This window comes from Homo sapiens, chromosome 6 (genome assembly GCF_000001405.40).
Source record: "Homo sapiens chromosome 6, GRCh38.p14 Primary Assembly".
Classification (NCBI taxonomy): domain Eukaryota; kingdom Metazoa; phylum Chordata; class Mammalia; order Primates; family Hominidae; genus Homo; species Homo sapiens.
Window position 1 is genome coordinate 167,218,914 of NC_000006.12, and position 22,429 is coordinate 167,241,342.

Genomic DNA, 22,429 nt, shown 5'->3' on the forward strand with positions numbered 1-22,429 from the left:
TTTAAGGAAGAACAATTTGTGTAAATACAACCATGGCTTGAGAGAGTATTTTCTCTTAGCAAATGTTCCAAAGCATCTTAAATCTTGGCAGGGGCTGACCACTCCGCCTTCCCCTGGCTAGACAGGCCACCTCCTGAGCTGAGCGGGCATTTGGGGCTCTGGCTTCTTCCTCGGCCAAGGAGAACCCAGAGAGCCAATCAGAGAAAAAGCTTTGGGGCCAGTTGGCTGTGTCAGGCCCTCAGCCAAGACCCTTAGCTAATTTCCATTACTTATCAGAGAGGGCAGACCCATTGAGGGGTCTGGAAAGCAAGGCTGGCTGGAAATACTCCCATCCTCACACCATTTGTGAATCCTCCCAGCCTCCATGGCGTGGTTGAAGCTGCTGGTGATGTCCTGGGATTCTGGGTCTTTCTCTCAGCCCACGTCTCCACCTGGGGCATGTGAGTGGCCTGACTACTCATCCAAGACTGTCGAGGGTCTGCAGGGCCCCTGAACAGCAGCATCTGATTGGGCTAAGGCACCCTCATTTTGCACCAGAGTGAAGGAGAGCAGCAGCTCTGTGACTGATCACTGTCTTCCACTCTTTCTATCAGGGCGACAAAGCTAGGTGAGCCCGAGTGCGGAGAATCTGGCCTGTTCCACTCTCATAGTCAGGGGGATCGTGTAGGTCCTGGTTCAGAACACACTCGTGTGAACTGTGCACACACACACTCACACATGCACACACACATCCTTTTTATTTTCCAAGTTCGTAGGTCCTTTTCCTTTCCCATGAGCCCTCTGCAGCCTGGGATACAGCACCCACTTCTACAGTCATCCACACTATTTATTGAGCGTCTACCCTGGACCAGGTATGCTTCCCAAGGTACTGGGGTACCACACTGATAAAAGAGCCGGGGGTCTCCATTCTCACAGAAGCCTAGTTCTAGTGGAGGAAACAGACAGTGAACAACTAAGCAAAACAGAGAATTCAAATTCCCATGGTGAGAAGAAGTGCGATCCCAAAATTAGAGCAGCAGATGGAATGATAGGGAGTATGGGGCAGGTACACACGCTATCCACATCGCATCTACACATGGGTGACAGAGCAGCACCCGGGTTTGTAGAGAGCAGCTCGGCTGGACCCAGGCATCACCAGGTCTGCAGCTCAGCAGCCCTTTCTGCCAGCCCCGCAAAGTGGAGCAAGTGGCTCTTTGGGTGGAAAAGATCCAGCTGCGTGCAGTGATTAGCCGAGGAAGCCGTGCTGTGATTGGACAGGTGACAGCGAAGTACGACTGTGACTTGACAGCCAAGGAAGCCGGCCTGTGATTGGACAGCTGAGGGCCAAGTACCTCTTTGTCTCCTGTGCCTTGATGAGCGGCAGAAAGTGCTGATGCTGCTGGAATTTCCTGGGGATTTTTTCTATCAATTATTTTTGTCTATGCAGACAAAGACACAGTGATAGTAAATTATGTCCAAAAATCTCCAAAGATTTCGTGCCTTTGCTCTCACAACCACAAACATCCATACAATTTGAACTCTGTCCTCAAGCGAGATAACGCCATCCTGGGTGACGTGACCTATTTGCAGTCCCTTCGCTCCAGCCGCTATTGCAGCGCGTGGCTTCTAAAATCTCAGCGAGTGTCAGCAGGTGAGACTGAGGCATTTTCCCCGTTTGTTTCCAGCTACGGTGCAATGACCGCCTCTTTTCAGTGGTCCCTTGAGAAGCCACTGTGCCGCTTCTTCCCGCTCAGCGGGCGGTAAGGCCTGTATGTGCAATGTGGGTCTCTCAGCAGCTGCTCCTGCTGGAAACTTCTCCACTGACTTTGGAAAGGATTTGCTGGAAAGCTGTAGAAAGACAGACTGGAAAGGTACTTGATATGATGAAGGGAGAACATCTTGTAAAGACAAGCATTGAAGGTTATTGCTTAAGTTTTGACTAAACATAACATGTATGAAAAATCGTATACATATGCATATGTATACATGAATATAAATAGATACATGTATATATGGACATGCATATATATAAAATATAGGCTCATTGTGTGTGTGTGTAAATATATATCTAGGGAGAGAGAGAGACATCAAACTCTTCTCTAGATAATTAAATTTCTGAGAGGAAAGGGGCGTGTATCCTTTTTTTACTGGATGCACCTATATACTATTCTGTATTTTGTTTTGTTTTGTCTTGTTTTTGAGACGGAGTCTCCCACTGTCTCCCAGGCTGGAGTGCAGTGGTGAGATCTCAGCTCACTGCAACCTCTGCCTCCAAGCTTCAAGAGATTCTCCTACCTCAGCCTCCCGAGTAGCTTGGACTACAGGTGCCCGCCACCATGCTCAGCTCATCTTCCTGTATTTTTAGTAGAGTCAGGGTTTCACTATGTTGGCCAGGCTGGTCTTGAGCTTCTGACCTCGTGATCCGCCCGCCTAGGCCTCCCAAAGTGCTAGGATTACAGGCCTGAGCCACCACGCCTGGCCTATTTCTGTATTTTTAAGAAGAACATCTAATTTAAGAAGAACAAAATTTTTAAGGAAAACTATACTTCTATAAAGGAATTTTCTAGAAAGAACTCTATCAGGTAAGCTAAGCCCCCACCTGCCCTCTGGGCTGCCCATTCTTGTGGTTGAGCTGCTTCCCCAGGCGGCCCCCAGAACTCCCACCGCGGTGGTTGTAAAGAAACTGTGAACCGGAGCGCTCAGGCACCAGACACAGCCACCTGAGACAACGGCAGTGGCAGGGAAGCCGTTTCCACCGCCCTGGCTAACTCTCATCCCCTCTGGCCCCGCAAGCCTAATCAGGCTGCAATCCAGTGTGAGTCCCGGCTTGCCACCAGTCATTTAGGCCCCGGCTCACGTCACCCCCGTGGCTGGCAACTCCTTTTCTCCTGACCGGTTTATGATGAGCTGTAAAGAAGCACACAGTGGGGTTGGTCCCTGGGATGAACCCTGGCAGACAGCTGGCTACATGGCAATCCTGCCTTCAAAAAGTATTTCCTGAATTCTGCACATTAGACAAGGGGAGACCTGTGACAAATGCCAGCCAGGGCCCTTTCCCTTGGCCTAAACGCCATGGCTCAGGGCCAGCCTGCATAGCAGGGAGTGTGCCTGGGCATGGTGTCCCAGATGGTCAGCCACCCTCCCTTGGGCAGGTAACTACACACCTACGTGTCCCACTCAGTGCTGCCCCTCTGCAGTGGTGCCACCTGGCAGGGCCCGAAGGCCCAGACGGTGTGGGAAGGAACAGGTTGGCTTATGCTGGCACAGCCGAGGAGAAAATCAAGCTGATGATGTGTTTTGAGAACTGGAGAGGATTATGGAGAGGACTACAAGGCGAGTAGGAGTTCTGTGCTTACAGCGTGATACCACCAGGGGTCTGGGGTTGGTGGGCTGTGTGCGCTGTGTCCGGCGTTCCCAAGGTAAGGACCCACGGACCTCTGTAGCAAGATCTCCCAATGTTCTCAAGCAGCCACGATTTGTCAACGCACCCACCTGTGGCGACCGCCCTCAGAGTCCCAGACTGTGGGTCTGCACCCCGGACACGGGACCAGGGCCCTTCTCAGGAAAATGGGCTGTGTGTGGGCACTAAAGGCAAGACTCTGTTTTTCCAAGGAATCCCCAATATCCTGTGTTTTTCTTACCCAGTGTGTTCAGTTAATGAATGATATTGAGCTGTGTATTTCCAGTGGCCCGAAAGCCATGATCAGTATCTACTCAAGTGGGCAACATGAGCTCTGTGTGGATAAACCTAATGAACAGGGCTTAGCGGAGAGGATGGGCATGCCTGGCCTTCGCTTTCTAGTCCTCCTCTCCTCTGTCCCCCATCCCTCCCCAGCCCGGATGTTCGGAAGTTGTTTTTAAACCCCTTTACCCCACTGCCTTCACACTGTGTCTCTTATTTTGTAGGAACTGAGTGTCTTGATTTATCTGCTCATCAGCTATTAGTTAACACCAACTGCATGTCATGCACTGGGCCAGACAGTCTCTAGAAGCTCACGCAACTGTTATCCTTGTGATCTATGAAGAAAAATATCACATAAAGTTAAAAAAAAAATAAATACGTAGAAGAAAGATTCCATGCTGCAGTAGAGGGTCTGTAAGTGCTCCTGTGCCCATGGGGGTTCTGGTAAAATCTGCCCCATCCCTAGTGTTTTGAAGATGGAACAAGGCTTGTTCTGCGGGACTGCCCCAGGCCCAGAAGTGAGCAGAAGCCAGAGAGCATTTTGCCCTGGGTTTTGTACTTCGTTTGCATTCAGCAAATATTTGTTGGATTTTAGTAGAATGTACAGAGTCTGCCAAAATAAGAGAAGTATGAACTTTCCGAGAGGAGATTTAACATGCTGTGAGCCCCTGACTCTAGGAAAGTGTTTACTGAAATGCCCTCATGTCAGGAAGACTCAATTTATCTTTCATATGTCTACAGATTTCTTTCCTTTTACCATCTGTGAGCCCTGAAAATCTGAGACAGGTCTCAGTTAACTTAGAAAGCTTATTTTGCCCAGGTTGAGAACGCACCCGTGACACAGCCTCAGGAGGTACTGACGACATGTGCCCAAGGTGGCCGGGGCACAGCTTAGTTTTCTACATTTTAGGGAGATGTGAGACATCAATCAATATATGCAAGAAGTACATTGATTCAGTCTGGAAAGCGGGGACAACTTGAAGCTTCTCAGGAGAGAGATAAGTTTGTACCCCTTTTTGTTACCGACACAGTAAGTTCAAGTTAAGGGCTTGTTGATGGGCATTTCCAGTATCAACCTTGATCCAATCAGGTACCTGATTCAATATTGCTGTATTTCCTTAACAATGAAGCATGCATTTTTTTCCCCTAATTTCATTCATAAGGAAAAAGTGCCTCAATTCTCTGACAGTTCCAAAACACAATTCTTAGTAAAAGAGGCAGATCGTGATCTGTTTGAGTTGTACATCCCCCCAGGCTAATTCACCTGGCGTAGGAGGTGCTCAGAGGCCACCAACATTGCCACAAGGTCCATCTTTGTGGATGGGGTAGGAACAGTGTGCAGAACAAGGGGGCATTGTCTTGGACCCACCGCAAGGACACCCTCTGCAAATGGACTTGGTGAAAATTCCACCCTGGGCCCTGTGGCTATTCCCCTTTCTGTGTGAGGCCAGCAGGGATCAGCTTCCTTCTGTGAAAGGAAAATAAAATCTCGGGAACCCATTCACTATGCCAAAAGGAAAAGTTAAGGCTGGAAGCTGAGTCATGCAAGAAACTGCCTTTCCTTTTGTTCCTAAGCAGATAGCCTCACATAGAAGGCCAGGTGTCTCCACAGGCAGCTGCTCTGTGGTCACCTTATCTTAGATAAGTGCCAACTTACTGAGCATGACATGAATACATAACTGAGTGTTCCCTCTTCCCCTCCTTTTCACACACAACACGTGGATTCAGTAAGTCTAATCAAAGACTCACAAGAATGTGACCCTATGCTCCCTCTTTCCCTTCCTGCTCACTTTTCCTCTTTAAATATTGAAGGCCCAAAATGCTCTTAGAAAAAGCACAGATCTGGGCAACGCGGTGACTCATGCCTGTAATCCCAGCACTTTGGAAGGCCGAGGCGGGCGGATCACCTGAGATCGGGAGTTCGAGACCAGTCTCACCAACATGGAGAAACTCCGTCTCTACTAAAATACAAAATTAGCTGGGCGTGGTGGCGCATGCCTGTAATCCCAGCTACTCGGGAGGCTGAGGCAGGAGAATTACTTGAATCCGGGAGGAGGAGGACGCGGTGAGCTGAGATTGTGCCATTGCACTCCAGCCTGGGCAAAAAGAGCAAAACTCCATCTCGAAAAAGAAAAAGAGAAAAAGAAAAAGCACAGATCACAGATGTTCCTGTGCTTTTGTGTTCCCTGTTCCCAGGCACATCCTCAAACTTGACAGAATAAACCTTTACACTGATTGGGACCAGCCTCAGACACTTTTTGGTTTAGACTTCCTAAGAAACGGTACTGTTGGATCTCTGTGGAGTCATAGTTTGTTACACCAATTCTTTCTTTCTTTGTTATTCACATACAGTGAGAGAGATGACTGAGTCCAGTTTGTTTTATATTTTTGAACTCTGAAATCATGTCAGCTTCCTTGCAGTATAACTTTGACAAAGAGCAAATGTACATTATAAAAAAAGTTTTTCTTGTAATTGTGAGTTCTCAATCACGGGCCCATACTCAATATTCCCATCAAATACAACCCGCTCACACAGCCTGTTATCCTAGGCGTTAACTTTCATCTGAAGCCTCATTTTTGTCTCTTATCTGAAGCCAACTGCATTCCCATTGTCCTGGGGTCCTGTTGGCAGCCACTTCTCCTCCCATAACAATAAGATGCTGTGCAAATTGTGTCCTTTGCTTTGCTCCCCTCATCACTGGTGGACTTGAGATTGTCAGCTGAAATTAAGACTGTTGAGGCAGAAATAATTTTATCACAGTTTATTGAAAGCCAAATGTGAGGTTGGACCTGGGAAGACATACCCACGGAGTTGACAGCATTCTGGAGTCTGTCACAAGGCCAAAGGTTTTTGTAGGAGAGTTTAAATGAGTAGTCTTCTTTCTTTTGGAGGATGCAACTCAGAGGTCACAATCATTACTACAGATTACGACCTGCAGGCTAACAATGTCCACATGAAAACAAATCAGTAAAACTTCATGCTTCAGCTCATCTTAAAATCACAGTGCCCTCTCCAGCGTCAGCAGGTGATACATTGGTCTATACTATACAACAATCATTTGAGGAACTTATGATAAGACAGGGTGCTGTCCCCCGCGACCTCTGGCCAGGTTTCAGCCAGCAAAGGGACCCACAAAGGGAGCCACTCCAGCAGACCTAGACTGAGCGGTCTCGGGGCTCTTTGACTCTCTAAGGACTGAGATATTCATAATTCTTTTTAAATTATCCATGGAAACAGCAGGACAAAAAATGCACAGGGCCTCCTAGTGCCTGGGTGAATGTGCTCAGCCCTCTTTGAAGAGAAACCTCAAGGATACGGAAGTGAAGGCTTTGAAAGACAGGGTTCTATTGAGATGAAGGGTGCCTATTCCTTAACAGCAAGTAATTCATATGCTATTGAAATGAATTTAGCATTTTCCCTTGAAAGCACACAGCATTTTCCCCCTCATTAACAAATGTGCTCCTCCTTCCCCTCCCCCAGCCTCTACAAAGGATTTGAAGGCACCACCTGAGATCAGGGGGCGCCTGCAGGGGGTAGGAGCCGCTCTCAAGGCAGGTGGCCAGCTTTGCTGATCCCGAGACCTCATCCTCGGCTTTTGAGTATCTAATGTACAGTTACATCTGTACCTTGAAACATGAGATTGGGTTTTGAAGTCTCAAACTAATACACATCAATAAAAGGCCAGTGACGGGAACTGAAGAGGAAGTAAGGGCACTGGAATCCTCTCAAAGCAAATACCTTCCTGCGCTCATGGACTTCCTTAAGAACATCGCTTATTACACAATCTCACAGTGAATTGTGGATTGCCTGGTATTGTTTTCTAGGTATTTCATGCAGTCTTGTTTTCCCAGCTGGACTCCACTGAAATTCAGACTAAATTCAACTAACCATCATATGTCAGGCAGTCCTAATCTCTTTCACACATGCCTACTTTTTTTATCCTCCAAGGATAAGGATCTGGCATCTTTGTTGATTTTTCTGTTGCACTGCTCTGCTTGATTTCAAATATACACATAATTTTCGGTGGAAAATTCCATGAGTATTGCACCCTTCGTTTACGGTCATACTCAACTGAATCAAAGAAAGAATATATTTTCTTATTCCTAGTAGCCCATTCTCACTCACATAGAACAAAATATAAGCAATGGGTTAAAAATCTAAACAGAGAGACTGATTTAAGTAATAATAAAACTCTCTTCTCCCGCACAGCTGGCTCTGCGTAAATTACTTTTTCTCTATTGCAATTCCCCTGTCTTGATAAATCAGCTCTGTCTAGGCAGTGGGCAAGGTGAACCCCTTGGGCAGTTACAAATGTGTGGGCTCATCCGGGATTGCCCTTGTGGCTGCCTGCCCATGGTTCAGTAGCCCCCTCTCCAGCGATGGATCCAGAGGCCAGACCAAGCGGCCACGTAGTTCTCTCGGACTAGGGGCTAATTGTGGTATTCTCTCTGCTGGTGGGGCGCTGCCGACGCAATATGCATGGATTTAATTGCAATAGAATTATAGTCCTGGGGAGGCATCTCTTAACTGTAACCCTATCACAGGATGTCTGTCTGTAGCCCCATGGTGGGGTATATGTTTGTAACCCCATTGCAGGATATCTGGGTTGGTGAGTATCCTAGGCATTGCCAATGCCTCCTTCCTTCTGCTGACTGGTTCTGTACCCTCCGGTGGGGTGTCTGTAGCCCCACTGAGGGATGTTGGCTTGTAGCTCCACCATGGGGTGTCTGTGTCTGTAACCCAATTCGGGGTGTCTGTCTCAGTTTGTCTCCTGGGGGTCTCAGTTGGCTCTTTCTTTTATATTTATTTTTTGAGACAGAGTCTCCCTCTGTCACCCAGGCTGGAGTGCAGTGGCACAATCTTGGCTCACTGCAACCTCTGCCTCCTGAGTTGGGATCAAGTGATTCTGCTGCCTCAGCCTCCTGAGTAGCTGGCACTACAGGTGTGCACCAGCATGCCCGGCTAATTTTTGCATTTTTTGTAGAGATGGGATTTTACCACACTGGCCAGGCTGGTCTCGAACTTCTGTCCTCAAGTGATCCTCCTGCCTTGGCCTCTTAAAGTGCTGGGATTACAGGCGCGAGCCACTGCGCCCAGCCTCAGTTGGCTCTTTCTAACTAGTAGAAAGAGTCTTGGTTTGGGAGACTTCTCCTCAATCAGGAAGATTTCGAGGAGATTTCTCAGATGGAGAATAGAAGGACAGTTTGGAAGGGACACTCTTGGAGTTCTTGGTTAGGGATCTGATTTGGAAAACGCTGTGTTCATCTTGTCTTTATGTGTGTTTGTATATGTGGAGGGGATCTCAGAGGGAATTGCTGATGGACGTTCAGCAGGCCTAACTCAGAGAACCCTCCTTATTTGTCTGGTCACATTCGGTGAGCCCTGAAAAATGCTCAGCAGGCCTGTCTCGGGGTGACTATGTGCTCTTCGCCTTGCCCAGAGACCCCATTGTGAATTACCCTTTGGAGGTCATCCCGCCCCAGCTGGGGTGGATCAAAGACAACAGAGACCAACGGGAGAAAGTTTGGGCTTTGCCAGGCTGATAGTGGGTGCTGAATGAGGTGATTCATGTCTGTTTTGTTATGTGTATTTCGCTGGGATGGAAAATGTTAATTGGGTTCCCCAGGCAGCCTGTTGGGCAGCATCTTGCAAATTAAGAATCTTGTCTGTGGTTCCATAACACAGAAAGGGGTGATTTTCTCTTGTAAAGTGGTTTGAACCCCACAGCCATGGCACTAGCGAGCAGGGTCATCAGAGCTGCTCCATTCTTCTGGAAGCTGCAGAGAAAGGGAGCCCGGAAACCTGGTATGCCGGCAAAAAGGGTAAGAAATTCTTACCAGCCAAGTTTCTGGTCTCTCTCTCTTCCTCTGTCTGTGTAAACGGTAATCGTCACTATTTGTCTCTCTGCAAGGGTTTGATTAATAGACAAGGGATTTGTGAGACTACTCTTAGGTTATAGCAAATCTGGTGTACTTTGTGCTGAGAATTTGTCTTTCTGTGTTCTGTAATGGACAGAGGGATAGCACAGGCTAGAACGTGGGTTTAGGACCCCATAACCTGCATTACAAGCCAGCCCAGCAGACTGGTCAGTTACAAATTTTGCTGTGGGTTCCTGAAACCAATACCAGATGAAATATCTCTGTCTTGTTTTGTGTCCTTAAGAGCTTAACCTTGTGACCATGTGCAGACACTTTCTCTTAGATTCGGCCTTAGATTCTCTTAGATTCGGTCTTAGAGGACAGGAATTTTAGAGTTCATGTCATAGCCCTAAAAATTTTCTTGACCAGTTAAAAGCCTTGGCAAGCTTGAAATTGGCTTCTCTAGGACCCTTCTGGGAAAAGCAATAAAAACTGCTCAATGCCATAATACAGTAGCTAAGGCTTTGCCTTTTGATGATGGTGGCCTGGGTTCAATTCTTGCTTTCTGGAATTATTCCTTTCTGATTTGTTAGTTGTGTAATTTTGCCATTTATTGAGTTGTTTTTCCCCCCCCCAGGGAGTTTCTGATTTCTTCTCTTGAATTTTCCTTTCTCTGAACTACCTTGGGAAGATTCTAAATCTTGTAAAAAAGAAACTGCTTACCATGTCTTTGAAGCATCTGGGAGGTCACCTTTGGTAAAGTTCAAAAGCCAGAAATATTGGCCGCCTGGCTAAAGTCGGGTAATAAGAAATTTAAAAGGACTTTTTTTTAAGAGCGCTCTGGTTAAAAGTCAGCTTGATTAAAAGTGGATAAACAAGCTATAGATATATTTAAAAGGCATTTATGTTGTTCCCTTCTTGGATCTTGTTTTTCTGGAAAAAAGGTTTTTTTCTTCTCAGTCGACTTAATTATTTTTCTCAATTTTTTTGTCTTGCTAATCTTAATGCATACATGAGAGGTCCTCTTCTGGTAGCCTGGTACTCCTTGAAAAAAACAGGAGGCACCATAGACCCTGTTTTGGAAAAAAGCTCTGTTTTCCTCATGAAACCCTAGGAACTAAAAGCGGATAGATCCCTCTCAAAATCAAAAGCTCTGCTCTGTTTTGCATTGTGTTATCTGACAGTTTTGAGTTCTTGGGGTTTTAAGAAATTACTTCACATTACGAGAGAGCTTGGGTGTGTAATAACAAGGTAGGAAATACTTTAGGGGATGGCTAGCAGTAGTTATGGAGGGATACTTGACTGCACACTTGGATCAGAGAAGCAAATGCTCGTGGACACCTGGAAGACATGGAAAGGTCCCCACCCTCAGCTGAGAGATGAAGCTCCCGTGGGGGATGGGCTGATTGGCTTTGGGTGGCCTTGCCATGAAATGCACGTAGAAGCATTGCACTGTCTCTTCTCCTGTAGGATTTTCCTCCTTTTGAGGATTCAAGATCCAGTATAAAATGGCACCCTTAACTTTGGGGATCTGTCTTTGCCTTCACCTGTTCCTGCTTATTTGGCCCAAGAATTGCATGCTTTCCTGACTCTGTTCCTTCAAGGGCTCCACCCTGAAGTCAGTAATCCAATTAAGAAAACTGGCAAATGAAAAATGTTACAAGTGCTAAATCTTCTGTATTTCTGTCTGCGTATTTATATGTGTTGGGTGTGTGATGTTTGTATGTAAAAGAGCTCTGATAATTGGCTTAGAAAAATAAGCATGTAAATGAAATATTTTGACAGAAAAAATCTTTAATGCCTTTTTCTTCAAATGGCTTTAGTAATCTTTTGCAAATAAAGACAGTTTTAAAGATTACTGGTAAAATAACATGTCTTGAAAATGTAGGTATTTGGTCTAAATTAAGGTCAGATATCAGATTTGCTAAATGCTTTAAGGTCAAACTGTTTCCTTTGGAAAAATTGTTCAGTTTACCTGCTTTGGAGGATTAGATGACAGAGGAGGCCTGGGGAGCTGTGGAGAGCCATGCCCCTGGCCATGCTGAAAAGAGTCAGACCTCATCTTCACTTCTGCCTGATGTCCTGGGCTCCACCCAGTACATAATTAAAATCACTTACTCATCAGGGTTTTCACTAAAAACAAAAGCTGCTAAGAATTAACAATGTAACATTGAGACCACTGGAGAAACAGCTTTACATACATGGTGTGTAGGGAATGTGTTTTTGATAAAAGATTATAAGAAGGTATGGGAATATGGCTTCTGTTAAAGGGAATGTAATTTTGTCTAGTTCAGAGGGTTTTAAAGATTGTGTTAACCTAAAAGAGTAATGGGATAAAACCGAAGGCTTACTCAAAGTGAAAAGGGTTTGTAAAGGGTTGATTTGTAAAAAAAAAAAAAAAAAAAATTCTGTGGGTATAAACAAGTTGGCTAAGATTTGAAAGAAATTATTTAGCTTTTCTCCATAAGTTAAAACACTAAAACCATACTGATACAGGGCCAGCGTCTGGGCCCACGTGTCCGAATAATAGGGTTTGCTTAGAAAATTGATCTGCTGTTTGATGGAAAATTGGAAAGGGTTCTAAAAAGTTCATGAAAATCTTACCTTATGGTCAAACTAATTAAAACTGGACAGATATATAAAATTTTATTTAAAAACTAGCTTTAGCATTAAAGATGCACTAATGCAAACATGAAATTTGGTTTTCTCTTTTGAAGATGATTTTTATGTAATATTAAAGGATAATGAAAGGGTTTTCTTTCCTCTTTTAGGTAAGTGGCAGGGAAAAAGGGGAGGAGAGAGAAAAGACAGACTCAGTTGGCCTCATGCTATCTTCACTGGGTCTTGTTGGAAAGCTAAGTCTCCTCTATCAGAGTAAAGATTTTTCCTTTTTAAAATTTTTGGAGCTATCATTTTGGCCAAATGGATGACTTATGGTGACCTGGGATGCTATTTTGTGATATTCAGTGTTTTAAACCTTTGATATTTGACAAACGTTCCAAAACCAAATTATAAATTATGTCTCTTTTTAACCTTTTAGATATTAGGTTCTTTAAAGTCCAAAAATGACATTTGGCTTATTTGGTATAAAAATCATACAGAAAGCATTGTCAAATATGACATGGTGTTTGGCTTTCTTTGGGCTATATTTGTGCAAATATGTTATTGACACATATTTCAAAATTATGTAAAACACCTATAATTCTAATATGACTTAGTATAAGTTATCAGTAATAATTATAATTATTATGTTAAATGACTGTGTGCCACAGAGGTAACAAATTTCCTTGCCAATTGTGTCTTTAACTGTGGCTGCCCTAAAATGTTTTGTCATCCACAGGCAATTGTTGTCTCATTTTGGTCCTCTTTTTTTCTTTTTTTTTTTTTTTGGAGATGGAGTTTCACTCTTGTACTCTTGTCGCCCAGGCTGGAGTGCAATGACACGATCTTGGCTGACTGCAACCTCTGCCTCCCGGGTTCAAGCAATTCTCCTGCCTCAGCCTCCTGAGCAGATGGGATTACAGGTGTGTGCCACCATGCTCGGCTAATTTTTGTATTATTAGTAGAGACGGGGTTTCACCATGGTGGCTAGGCTGGTCTCGAACTCCTCACCTCAGGTGATCCACTCACCTCGGTCCCCCAAAGTGCTGGGATTACAGGTGTGAGCCACTGTGCCTGGCCAGTCCTCTTTAAAGGATGGTTTTATAATCAGCTATAAAATTTAACAGGGGCTCTTCAGTGCAGATTTCTGATTAATAACCTGGAGATTGTGACGTTAGAATAGAGAAAAAAACTTTCAAATAGAAGAGTGAATAGTGTTTGGTTGTCTTTGGACTGTATCTGTATAGATATGTTATTAGTATGTGTTTCAAAATTATGGGAAACTTCTATAATTCTGATATAATTTAGTGTTATTAATAATTATAATTTTTATACAAAATTGTTGTATGCCACAGAAGTAAACAAAATTCTAGTCAATTGTAGCTTTAGTAGTGGCTATCTTAAGACTTCTATCATACACAGACATTTCGTCTTGCTTTGGCAGTTTATAATCAGGTATAAGTCTCTTGGGGAATCTGACCTCATACCTCATCTATGCAGTTCCTGTACAAGGTTCCTGACCTGTGGTAAGTAATGAATGTCACTTAGATAACCCCAAGTTACCTTTGGGCCTCAAGAGGAGAGGAATTTACCCAACTCATAGTTATTTGAGGGTACAAACCGATGGCTGGGCTCGGCTTTTAAAAAGTCATATGTGGGATTCCTCATGGAACAGAATTCCATCAAAGCCCATTAAAAAGAGCCTAAGTGAAAAATAATTATTCTTGCTGCAAATGATCAGGCCAAGTACGGGAAGACTAAAGTTGATTTTGTAAACAAATCCGTTCTATCATGATTTGTTTTTAATAAAAATGGGGACTGAAGAGAGAAAAATTATATTTCAAAAGAAAGCTATAGTACACCTGTTGTTAGCTGTTATTGAGGTTTTTTTCTGCAGTTTGGATTAATTCCTAAATTCTTTGTGGGTTAGAAGTCCCCAAACTCATGCTTTCTAATCATTGCTTTTAAAACTGGGAATTGTACTGCTCATCCTAGGACTCGTTATTTACCTTATGGTACACTGTTCAGTTAAATACTGTACTGAAAGTATAGATGAGGGTACTAATGCTTTTGCCATGCAAGGTTTGGAAGCCCAGTCAGACCTGCATGCGTCGCCCAGACAGCAGTAAATTGGTTCACTCCTCTCACCTTGGGGTTCACTCCTCTCACCTTGGGGTTCACTCCCATTCCCACTACGCCCTCTGTCAGCAGGAAGACGCCAGAGCGATCCGCAGTCTTTTCCCATCTTCATAGGCTAACCTCAAGATTAAGGTGTTATAAAACACAAAGGGAGGGATTGAAACTACCTTTGCAAAATTATGACTGAGACAGTGAAAGAAATCTAACTTGATCGACTCCATCTTGCTTCTAACCTGCAAGCTGTCCTTGTCCATTCTTGGACCGAGGCTGAATTAACTTTGGGAGGAACTTAGTTTATAGTTTAAATCAAAGACGGTAACAGCCCTTTCCCAAAGCAGACCTCCTTCTTGCCTGAAGACTAAATTGCCTTTGTAGGGCTAACAATAACCACGAGATAAGAAATCATGGTGGAGGAGTCATGTAGCTGGAGGGTACAAGATTCTGACCCTCCCTAAACTGCTCCTAAGATTAGTGCTTGAGCTATTTTGCCGACCCTGCACTTGATAGATCAGCTGACACCACCCAGATGGATAAACTGGCTCATCTGACTTGCGGCCCCCACCCAGGATCTGACTCGGTGAAAGAAGACAGCTTTGACTCCCTGTGATTTCACCCCTGACCAATCAGCGCTCCCAGCTCACTGGCTTCCCCCGCACCCACCAAGTTTTCCTTAAAAATTCTGCTCACCAAATGCTCAGGAACATTGATTTGGGTAATAACACAATTCCGGTCGCTTGCAAAATTAAAAAAAAATCTAAACAGTACAGCATGTTCTTTATATATTATCTGAAAGATAATTTTCAGAAAAAGGTAAAACAATGACTTGCACCAAGATATTAAAATACACAACTCTTAAAGATTTTATTTTACACATATGATAGAAGGGAACTAGGCAGATGTTAGAAATAGTTTAAAGGAAAAGTGAAAACAATACAAATTTATATGGAGTAAAGGAATTTTGAAATGAGTTGCAAATGGAAAGAAAACTTTTTTATTTATTTATTTTCAAATTTTTTACAGGAGAAAGAAGCCAGTAAAAATCACTACTAGACAGGGCAGAAGATAGATAGATAGATAGATAGATAGATAGATAGATAGATCGATCTATGTCTATATATCTCCATCAGTTACCTGCAATTTGCAAAGAATTGTAAAATAGTTCAAAGACAATGAACAACCCAGAAGTATGTGTTACAGTTTTCCATTGAAACACATTTTTTAAACATATCTAATAGGTATGTCTTAACTAGCGAATTCACACCACTCTTCAGTGAGAGGACTATTTATTGATCATCTGCCTGTGTGTTGCAGGTTGCTGTCTACCTTTTTCAAATTTGAAGCAAAGATTTTCATTAAAAGATTTTCACTAGAATTAATTAAAAATCAAAGCCCAAATCAAAACAGAATACACAGCAAGCTGTGCTAGTGACATGGATGACAACTTCTCCTGGGGATTACAACTCTCAGGGTGACATCCGTGTAGATGATTCTGTAACTGTTAAAATGAAAAACTCCCACCCTGTGGGAACAGAGCCGGGTGAGCCCTGGCTTCCACACAGTGCCACCCTGAGAAGGCGAGGTCTCCCCAGCGTCTGTCTGCAGTGCAGCCAGGGCGGAGGAATGAAGTGTCACAGCAGGAAGCAGATGGCTGCATTTGCAGATAATCAATCTAGAGACTTGCAGCCCTGAGTTTCAGGGGAACTTGTCTAAGTAGCATCCTGTCGCTGGAAGGCATCTAATGAACTAAGTTACTGGTGTTCTTGCTTGTCAGATAGCCCTGGAACACTGTCTGGATTTTATAATCATTTTCTTGAGATTGACAAAGTCTAAATTCTTGCTGATCATTGACGAGTCTAAGTTGTAAAGAATGCTACCCATGGATGGAACTTTTTGCTTAAACTTAAGAAAGGGAGGAGAAATAACAGCAGCGGTGCCCCGTGAAGGTTTCCCAAACATGGAGGAGTCCTGGTATAAACCATGCCTTGGACCCACAGCGGAAGGAGGAGCACAGCACAGCTGGGATCACGAGGACTCTGAAGTCTCCTGGGACGTGACAGGAGCAGGCTCAGCCACTGTGCACAGCGTGCGTCCTTGAGCAGGTCACCTAAACTGCCTGGGTCTCACATCCCTGCCATTCATGGTGTTGGGGCTTGCCCTGACTTTGTACCAAGATCAGAGAGGGGCTTATAGTAGGGAGAACCCAGGCAGCGGGAGGAGGCACTTCCAAGCCCCCAAGGGTAGGCGTGGCCTTCCCGGCCCCCAAGAGTGCAGGGATGCCAGAGGCTGCAGCGGCAGATTTGGGCGACTGCGGGTGTGCAGGGTGGGGGCTCCTGCCTGCGCCATGGAGCTGGAGGCCCCTGTCTGCAGCCCCAGTTCGGGCGGCTTCCGCGAGCGCAGCAGTGCCTAGGAGCATGCAGGGCTCCTGCCTGCCCCCACCCACCCAAGAGCAAAGGGAGGCTCAGATCTGCAGCCGCAACATGGGCGGCTGCAGCCCTGTCCAGGAGGGTGGGGCTCCTACCCGCCTGGATTAGGAGGTCAGGTCAGCATCCCCAGTTTGGGCGGCACCCTGGAGTGCCACAGCACCCAGGAGCGCACGGCTCCTGCCTACCCTCAGCCCTCCAAGAGCACACAGAGGCTCGTGTCTACCGCCCCAACTCGGGCGGCTGCAGCCGCGCGGGAGAGATTGGCGGTGCTGCTGCCTGCTCCTGGCTCCCACCCACTCCGTGGGGCACACAGCCCCAACTGTGACCCCTTGCAGCCTGAGGCAGGGGCTCCTGATCCTTGCTGGGCTCAGGCCAGCGTCCAGGGCAGGGGCAACATTACCACGAGCTCCCCCTGTTGCCCCCGTACTCAGGGGTGGCCCAGGGCAGAGTGGATCGTGGGCCTCAGGCCCCGCCCTCAGGAATGGCAGGCTTGGTGGTCACCCCGACGCCAGGCGGACTCCAAGGATACGGTCTGGGCAGCCCCCACGCAGAGCCTCCTCCCGCGACCCAGGAACCCGGCACCCTCTGTGGGGTGGGCACAGTGGGTGCCCAGCTGGCCAGGTCCCCTGAGTAGGTGTCACTATCCCTTCCTGCCCCGGATCCCCGAAGTGCGGCCCAGCCCTCATCAGGCCCCTTTCTGTCGGAGGAGCTACTGCCCCACTGCACGGCTGCCCCGCCGGTGGGTGAACTGGACCCCGCCTAGCTCCATCCCGGCGGCCCCCAGGGCAGCGGGTGGAGGGAGGGGGCTGTCCACCTCCTCCCTGCACACGCCCCGCAGCAGTCTGCGTGCGGGCAGGGGCCAGGCCGCACCAGATGGCCCACTGCTGCCATCACAGGCACTAACAGGAATCAGCCTTCTGCATCCAGGCCTTGTGTTAATGTGTGAATGACAAAGCAAAAGACCCCAGTGTGTGAGGCAGGAATTTGGACATCAGAAGGAGGAAAAACAGGATGAAGCTTCCGGAAGGAATAACCATCCCAGCTGTATCACCACACACACCTAGAACCCTTTAGTCAGGAGGAGGGAGGACGGATCCAACGTGGAATATGTAGGATTTTTCCGTTAGCCTGAATGTACCACCAGATGGAAGGAGGGTCAAGAACATAAGTCTGTGCCTTGAGGACTAAACTCTGACCTTTTTTCTCTCCTGCCCAAATTCCTACCTAAGGGGCCTGGGGAGGTCACCCTACAAACCACAAAGCCTCATTGGAGGGGTCTTATTAACCCTGTGTAACTCGGCTCTTTCCAACCTTACTCTGGTGTAACCTCACATGACAGATAAGGAAGAAAATCCAAATATTTTAACCCTAAATATGTTTCTTGGCCATATCTTGAAATGTCCCTGCAGAGCTGTCTCATGTGGGGAAAGTCTATATTCTGTAGAAAATCCTGTTCCCTTTCCAGGCCTTTTTCCTCATCCAGGAAATACTCCACTAAGTTTCTGGCACCTTTTAAGTCTGATAAGAAACATTTACCATCGATTCTCTGTAAGTCTTCTACCTGGAGGCTGCATCAGCGTAATAAGAACCTTGGTCTCCACAACCCCTTATCCTACCCAGATATTTCCTTTCTATTGGTTCCAGGTCTTTAGATAAACTCTTTCAACCAACTGCCAATCAGAAAATCTGTGAATCTGCCTGTGATCTGGAAGCCTCTGCTTCCTGGTGTGCCACCTTTCCCGTCTGAACTGATGTACAGCTTAAATGTATTGATTGATGCCTTATGCCCTATAGCATGTATAAAACCTAGCTGTGCCCTGATCACCTGGGTCACACGTTCTCCGGGTCTCCTGAGGACTGTGTCACGGGCTGTGGTCACTCACGTTTGGCTCGAAATAAATCTCTCCAATATTTTACAGAGTTTGTTCTTTTTGTTGACAATCTTTTAAAATGTCTAATCAGGAGAAAATCCCACTCATACAGAGCACCCAAAGGTGTGCTGGCTGCCCACTGACTATTCCGGTCGACAGAGCCAGGTACAGGGGTCAGAGTCACAGCAGCTCCCGTGGGCCGATGAGGAGGCATGGCTGGGGAGGAGGCTCTGTCTCTCCACACCCGATGGAGGCAGCTCTGCTCCTGAGCTCAGGGTGGACTTCACCTGGAGTTAGGAGTCAGGGGTCTGGGTCCTGCTTCCTCATTGCTCTGGTACCTGAAAAGATAAGCAGTCTCCGTGAGATGGGGCCTGACCCAGCATGCACAAGCCCGGGAAGGAAAGGAGTGAAAGGACCTGCTTCCCTGGGACCAGAGCAAAGAGCAGAAAGAGAGTAAGTGATTGATGTCGCCTGGGTTAGAAGGAGGAAGTAGAGAGGAGCGGGTTAGCGTTAGGGGCTTGCCTGGGCAGTCACAAAGGGCCCCACAGGCAGATGAGCCTGTAAACCAAAAATACATTTCTAAGGCCCCCCAGCTGATAGAGAATGGATGGGCTCCTGACTAAACTCCACCCTCAAGCCTAGAACCTTGGCCTTAAGTGAAAACAGCTGACCTGTTTGCCTTTTTGGCCCTCCCTGTATCCTATCCTGTGCTCATAAAAAGACTTCAGCTGGCAGAGCAAAGAAGCTGCTGAGGTAAGCAGTCAGCGATGCAAGCTGCTGAGCGGTGGGGATGCAAGTGGCCGAGTGTCAGAGACTCCCGATTGACAGCGCTGACTTCAGATGGTGTCGTTTTCCATGGGGAACCCGGCCGGGGAGGACGGTGCTTCACGGCAAGATCACCTTCTTTCCACACCACCCCCTTTCCAGTTCTGCCTTTGTCATCATTCAAACAGTCTGTGTGACCTGATTCTTCCTGGACACTGAACAAGAACTTGGGTGTCAAAAAGGGTGGGTGCAGAAGGCTGTGACCTTGACCCTTTGCTGGGCCATTAACACTTGGCTGTCCACGGACCGCACGCTGAGTGAAATGAGCCACTACAGTTCCTTCCCACAAAGGGGGTCAAGGTCAAAGGAAAAATCCTGTCTCACAATGCATTTCTGAATGCATTTCCTCCATGGCCAGGACACTCGTAAAATTTAACCTAAAAGACTGCTTCAGGCCATGACAGAAAGTGGAGTAAGACAGGTGTCATATACCTCTCCAGCATCAACATCAACACAGACCCCCCACCCCCACCTCCAAGCAGCCTCTAGGCAGGTGTCCTTTGTTCTAACTTCTCAGCTCTCTACCAGGGCCAGCTGCAGGATTTAGGGGCCCAGGGCAAAACACAAATGCAGGGCTGCCCACACATTCCTCTCAGTCACACATCGGGCCCCTCCTGCTGCCTTGTCCTGGTCCCAGTGGGCCACCAGGTAAAAGTGTCACCCTTAAAAATGTTCAATTGATGCAAATTCACATTTAAAGTTAGTTTACTCTGTCCCGGCACAAAAGGGTTGTTTCCAAAGTTACACTGATTAGACAGAAGTGGACCTTTGTCCCAGCTGAGGCCCTCCCATGGGTACCCACCCCCTGAACGGCGGATGCAAGACGGCAACAGTGTTGACTGAATTCAGGCAGTTTCAGGCCACAGCCAACTGGGGAGACAGCAATGAGTGATGAACGGTCGGGGTCCTCTATGCCACGCCATGAAACCTGAACTAACCGGACAAGTTTATCCAGAGCTGGACACGACCCTTTGGGGGCCATGTGGCATGGTGGTTACCATTGGCCTAGTGGTCAGGTCCAGCTTCAGCCTGTGGCTTCCCTGGCTACTGGCTGTGGGACCTGGGACCGGACACTGAGGCTGACTAAGGTTTTTACCTCAAACATGCTTATGGTTGTGTGTACCAAGAGGGTGATGTAAACCAGACAGCAAGTGCCTGGTGAGCAGCGAGTGATTAATAAAAGGGGGTGTGTGTGTGTGATCCATATACGTACACATACACTTATTTTAATTTAGGAAAAAGTGCTTTCTTTCTCTCTCCTCTCTCTCTCTCTGTCTCTCTCTCTCTCGCTCTCTCTTCTCTCTCTCATTCTCTTCTTTCCTTCACAGGGTCTCCCTGTGTCAGACAGGCTGGAATGCAGTGGTGCAATCATGGCTCACTGCAGCCTCAACCTCCTGGGCTCAAGAGATCCTCTGACCTCAGCCTCCCAAGTAGCTTGGACTACAGGCATGCAACACTATATCTGGCTTTATTATTATTATTACTATTTTGTAGAAATAGGTCCTCACTATGCTGCCTAGGCCAGTCTCCAACTCCTGAGCTAAAGTGAGCCTCACTCCTTGGCCTCCCAAAGTGCTGGATTGACAGGCAGGAACCACTGTGCCCAGCCCCCACACACATTTTTTAGTCATCACTGATGGAGTTTGGTCCTGGGTGTGTTGCTGGGCCTGATGAGAACTTCCTCAACAGGTTCCTGATGCGAAACCCCGCGTTTCTCCCTTGAAAGGGGGCAACCAGCTTCTGGGTTACTCTAAGCTCTGAGACAGACCTCTGCTTTTCTTCCCTTCTGCTATCACCTTGTTGAAGAGGGCCCTGCTCTGAAGGCTGCCAGAGGCGCCTGGGCCTGCGGAGATACCTGCTCCCGGCACGTCTCAGAAGCAAAGGCTGTGCACAGCCACTCAGGTCACCTGTGCGGACTCTGTCCCTGGTAGGAGTCCTCCCGTGCGTCCGGGAGCCGGTGCCATAGCTTGTCTCTGACCGAACGCCCACTGGCAGAGGTGTAGAAAGAGGAGCTCTTAGAGTGTGACTGCAGTCCAGGTCCAGCCAGAGAGAGACTTCATCCTCCTTATGACTGTGGGACTCAAGTATGTCTGTCATTAGGTGGAGGCTTGATCGATAGGCTCAGCCGCCCTGGTGTTCTGACTCTTGTTCCACTCACTGCATGAAATGAAGCTGGCGGAATATTGCTACAAAAGAATGATCGTGGCAGGAGGCGGGGTAGAGCAATGTCAGGTCACGGTGCGTCTTGCACCGAAATATTAAGGCAGTTGTAATGATCTTTGTCTCACAGAAATGAACAGAGTGATGAAGGAGGCTCAGAGAAAGGCAGCTGAGAAGAGCAACAAGGTAGAAAGGCTGACTTAAAGTAGAGAAATAAAAATTCATCCAGCACCTCCCAAGGTCGGACATTGGTCAAGAAACGCCCAAATAGTTCAGGTCGTTTAACTTTGCTCAAATTCCTCAAGGCAGGTATCACGACTCCTCCTGCTTTAGAGGTGAGAATGCCAAGGCTCCCGAGGGCTGAGTAAGGAGCCCTGGTTTGTTTGAGTGCAGGTAACACAACAGGTGTTAAAGCCCAATCTTCAGGGTCTTAATCCAACAGAAGTTAACTTTCGCTTAGAAAAAGTTCAGCACCAGAGTTCCTGGTGGATAAGCGACTTCCCACAAGGTCATTCCTGGGCCTTCTCTGTGTCTCCCCACCCTGTCCCCCTCTGAGGGTTTCAAGTCCTCGGAAGGTTCTAGATCCACCCTGCATGGAGCGCAGGGCCCCACTGCTTGTTTCCATTGCTGAGCCCAACAGGAAAGGCTGGGATCGGAGGTCGCCTTGCACCCAGGATGGAAGGGAAGTGCGTTTGGTGAACACATAGTGCCCAGGCCACCTACCCAAAGCCGCACAGCTCCAGCAGCAGCCTACAGTCCGACCCGGGCCAAGAAGCGAAGTCCAACCTCATGCTTTCTCTGACTTGAGTTTTCTGAACCTCAGAGTCCTCTCCTATAGAATGGAGAACACGTCTCCTTCACAGGATTACTAGGAGAATGAGCAGAGAAAA

General features: G+C 46.9%; 2 long non-coding RNA genes across 4 annotated transcripts, besides 6 other annotated features; one reads left to right on the plus strand and one right to left on the minus strand.

The window, feature by feature from the left end:
- Window positions 2,408–3,025: an enhancer, noted in NCBI's record as "H3K27ac-H3K4me1 hESC enhancer chr6:167634809-167635426 (GRCh37/hg19 assembly coordinates)". NCBI's record gives its function as "activates a minimal SCP1, AML or CMV promoter by ChIP-STARR-seq in naive and primed H9 embryonic stem cells {active_cell/tissue: H9 hESC(naive and primed)}" and the evidence as "EXISTENCE:reporter gene assay evidence [ECO:0000049][PMID:30033119]".
- Window positions 3,026–3,642: an enhancer, noted in NCBI's record as "H3K27ac-H3K4me1 hESC enhancer chr6:167635427-167636043 (GRCh37/hg19 assembly coordinates)". NCBI's record gives its function as "activates a minimal SCP1, AML or CMV promoter by ChIP-STARR-seq in naive H9 embryonic stem cells {active_cell/tissue: H9 hESC(naive)}" and the evidence as "EXISTENCE:reporter gene assay evidence [ECO:0000049][PMID:30033119]".
- Window positions 5,142–5,920: an enhancer, noted in NCBI's record as "H3K27ac-H3K4me1 hESC enhancer chr6:167637543-167638321 (GRCh37/hg19 assembly coordinates)". NCBI's record gives its function as "activates a minimal SCP1, AML or CMV promoter by ChIP-STARR-seq in primed H9 embryonic stem cells {active_cell/tissue: H9 hESC(primed)}" and the evidence as "EXISTENCE:reporter gene assay evidence [ECO:0000049][PMID:30033119]".
- Window positions 6,916–7,717: an enhancer, noted in NCBI's record as "OCT4-NANOG-H3K27ac hESC enhancer chr6:167639317-167640118 (GRCh37/hg19 assembly coordinates)". NCBI's record gives its function as "activates a minimal SCP1, AML or CMV promoter by ChIP-STARR-seq in primed H9 embryonic stem cells {active_cell/tissue: H9 hESC(primed)}" and the evidence as "EXISTENCE:reporter gene assay evidence [ECO:0000049][PMID:30033119]".
- Window positions 8,831–9,363: an enhancer, noted in NCBI's record as "OCT4-NANOG-H3K27ac hESC enhancer chr6:167641232-167641764 (GRCh37/hg19 assembly coordinates)". NCBI's record gives its function as "activates a minimal SCP1, AML or CMV promoter by ChIP-STARR-seq in primed H9 embryonic stem cells {active_cell/tissue: H9 hESC(primed)}" and the evidence as "EXISTENCE:reporter gene assay evidence [ECO:0000049][PMID:30033119]".
- Window positions 9,387–18,599, plus strand: HPAT5 (human pluripotency-associated transcript 5). Its single transcript, NR_157263.1, has 4 exons — window positions 9,387–9,484; window positions 12,914–13,044; window positions 13,566–13,647; window positions 18,328–18,599. It is a non-coding gene; the product is annotated as a human pluripotency-associated transcript 5 (long non-coding RNA).
- Window positions 13,092–13,230: a silencer, noted in NCBI's record as "fragment chr6:167645493-167645631 (GRCh37/hg19 assembly coordinates)". NCBI's record gives its function as "represses an EF-1alpha promoter that drives an FKBP-Casp9 reporter gene in an ReSE screen in K562 erythroleukemia cells {active_cell/tissue: K562}" and the evidence as "EXISTENCE:reporter gene assay evidence [ECO:0000049][PMID:32094911]".
- On the minus strand, window positions 18,595–22,295 carry LOC102724220 (uncharacterized). 3 transcript variants are annotated; one of them, NR_187777.1, is made up of 2 exons: window positions 21,287–22,295; window positions 18,595–18,892 (listed from the first exon to the last, which is right to left on the minus strand). It is a non-coding gene; the product is annotated as an uncharacterized LOC102724220 (long non-coding RNA). The 3 variants fall into 3 exon arrangements; NR_187776.1 differs by having other exon boundaries at window positions 21,235–22,295; NR_187775.1 differs by having other exon boundaries at window positions 21,176–22,295.
- Between the last annotated feature and the right edge of the window lie 134 nt (window positions 22,296–22,429).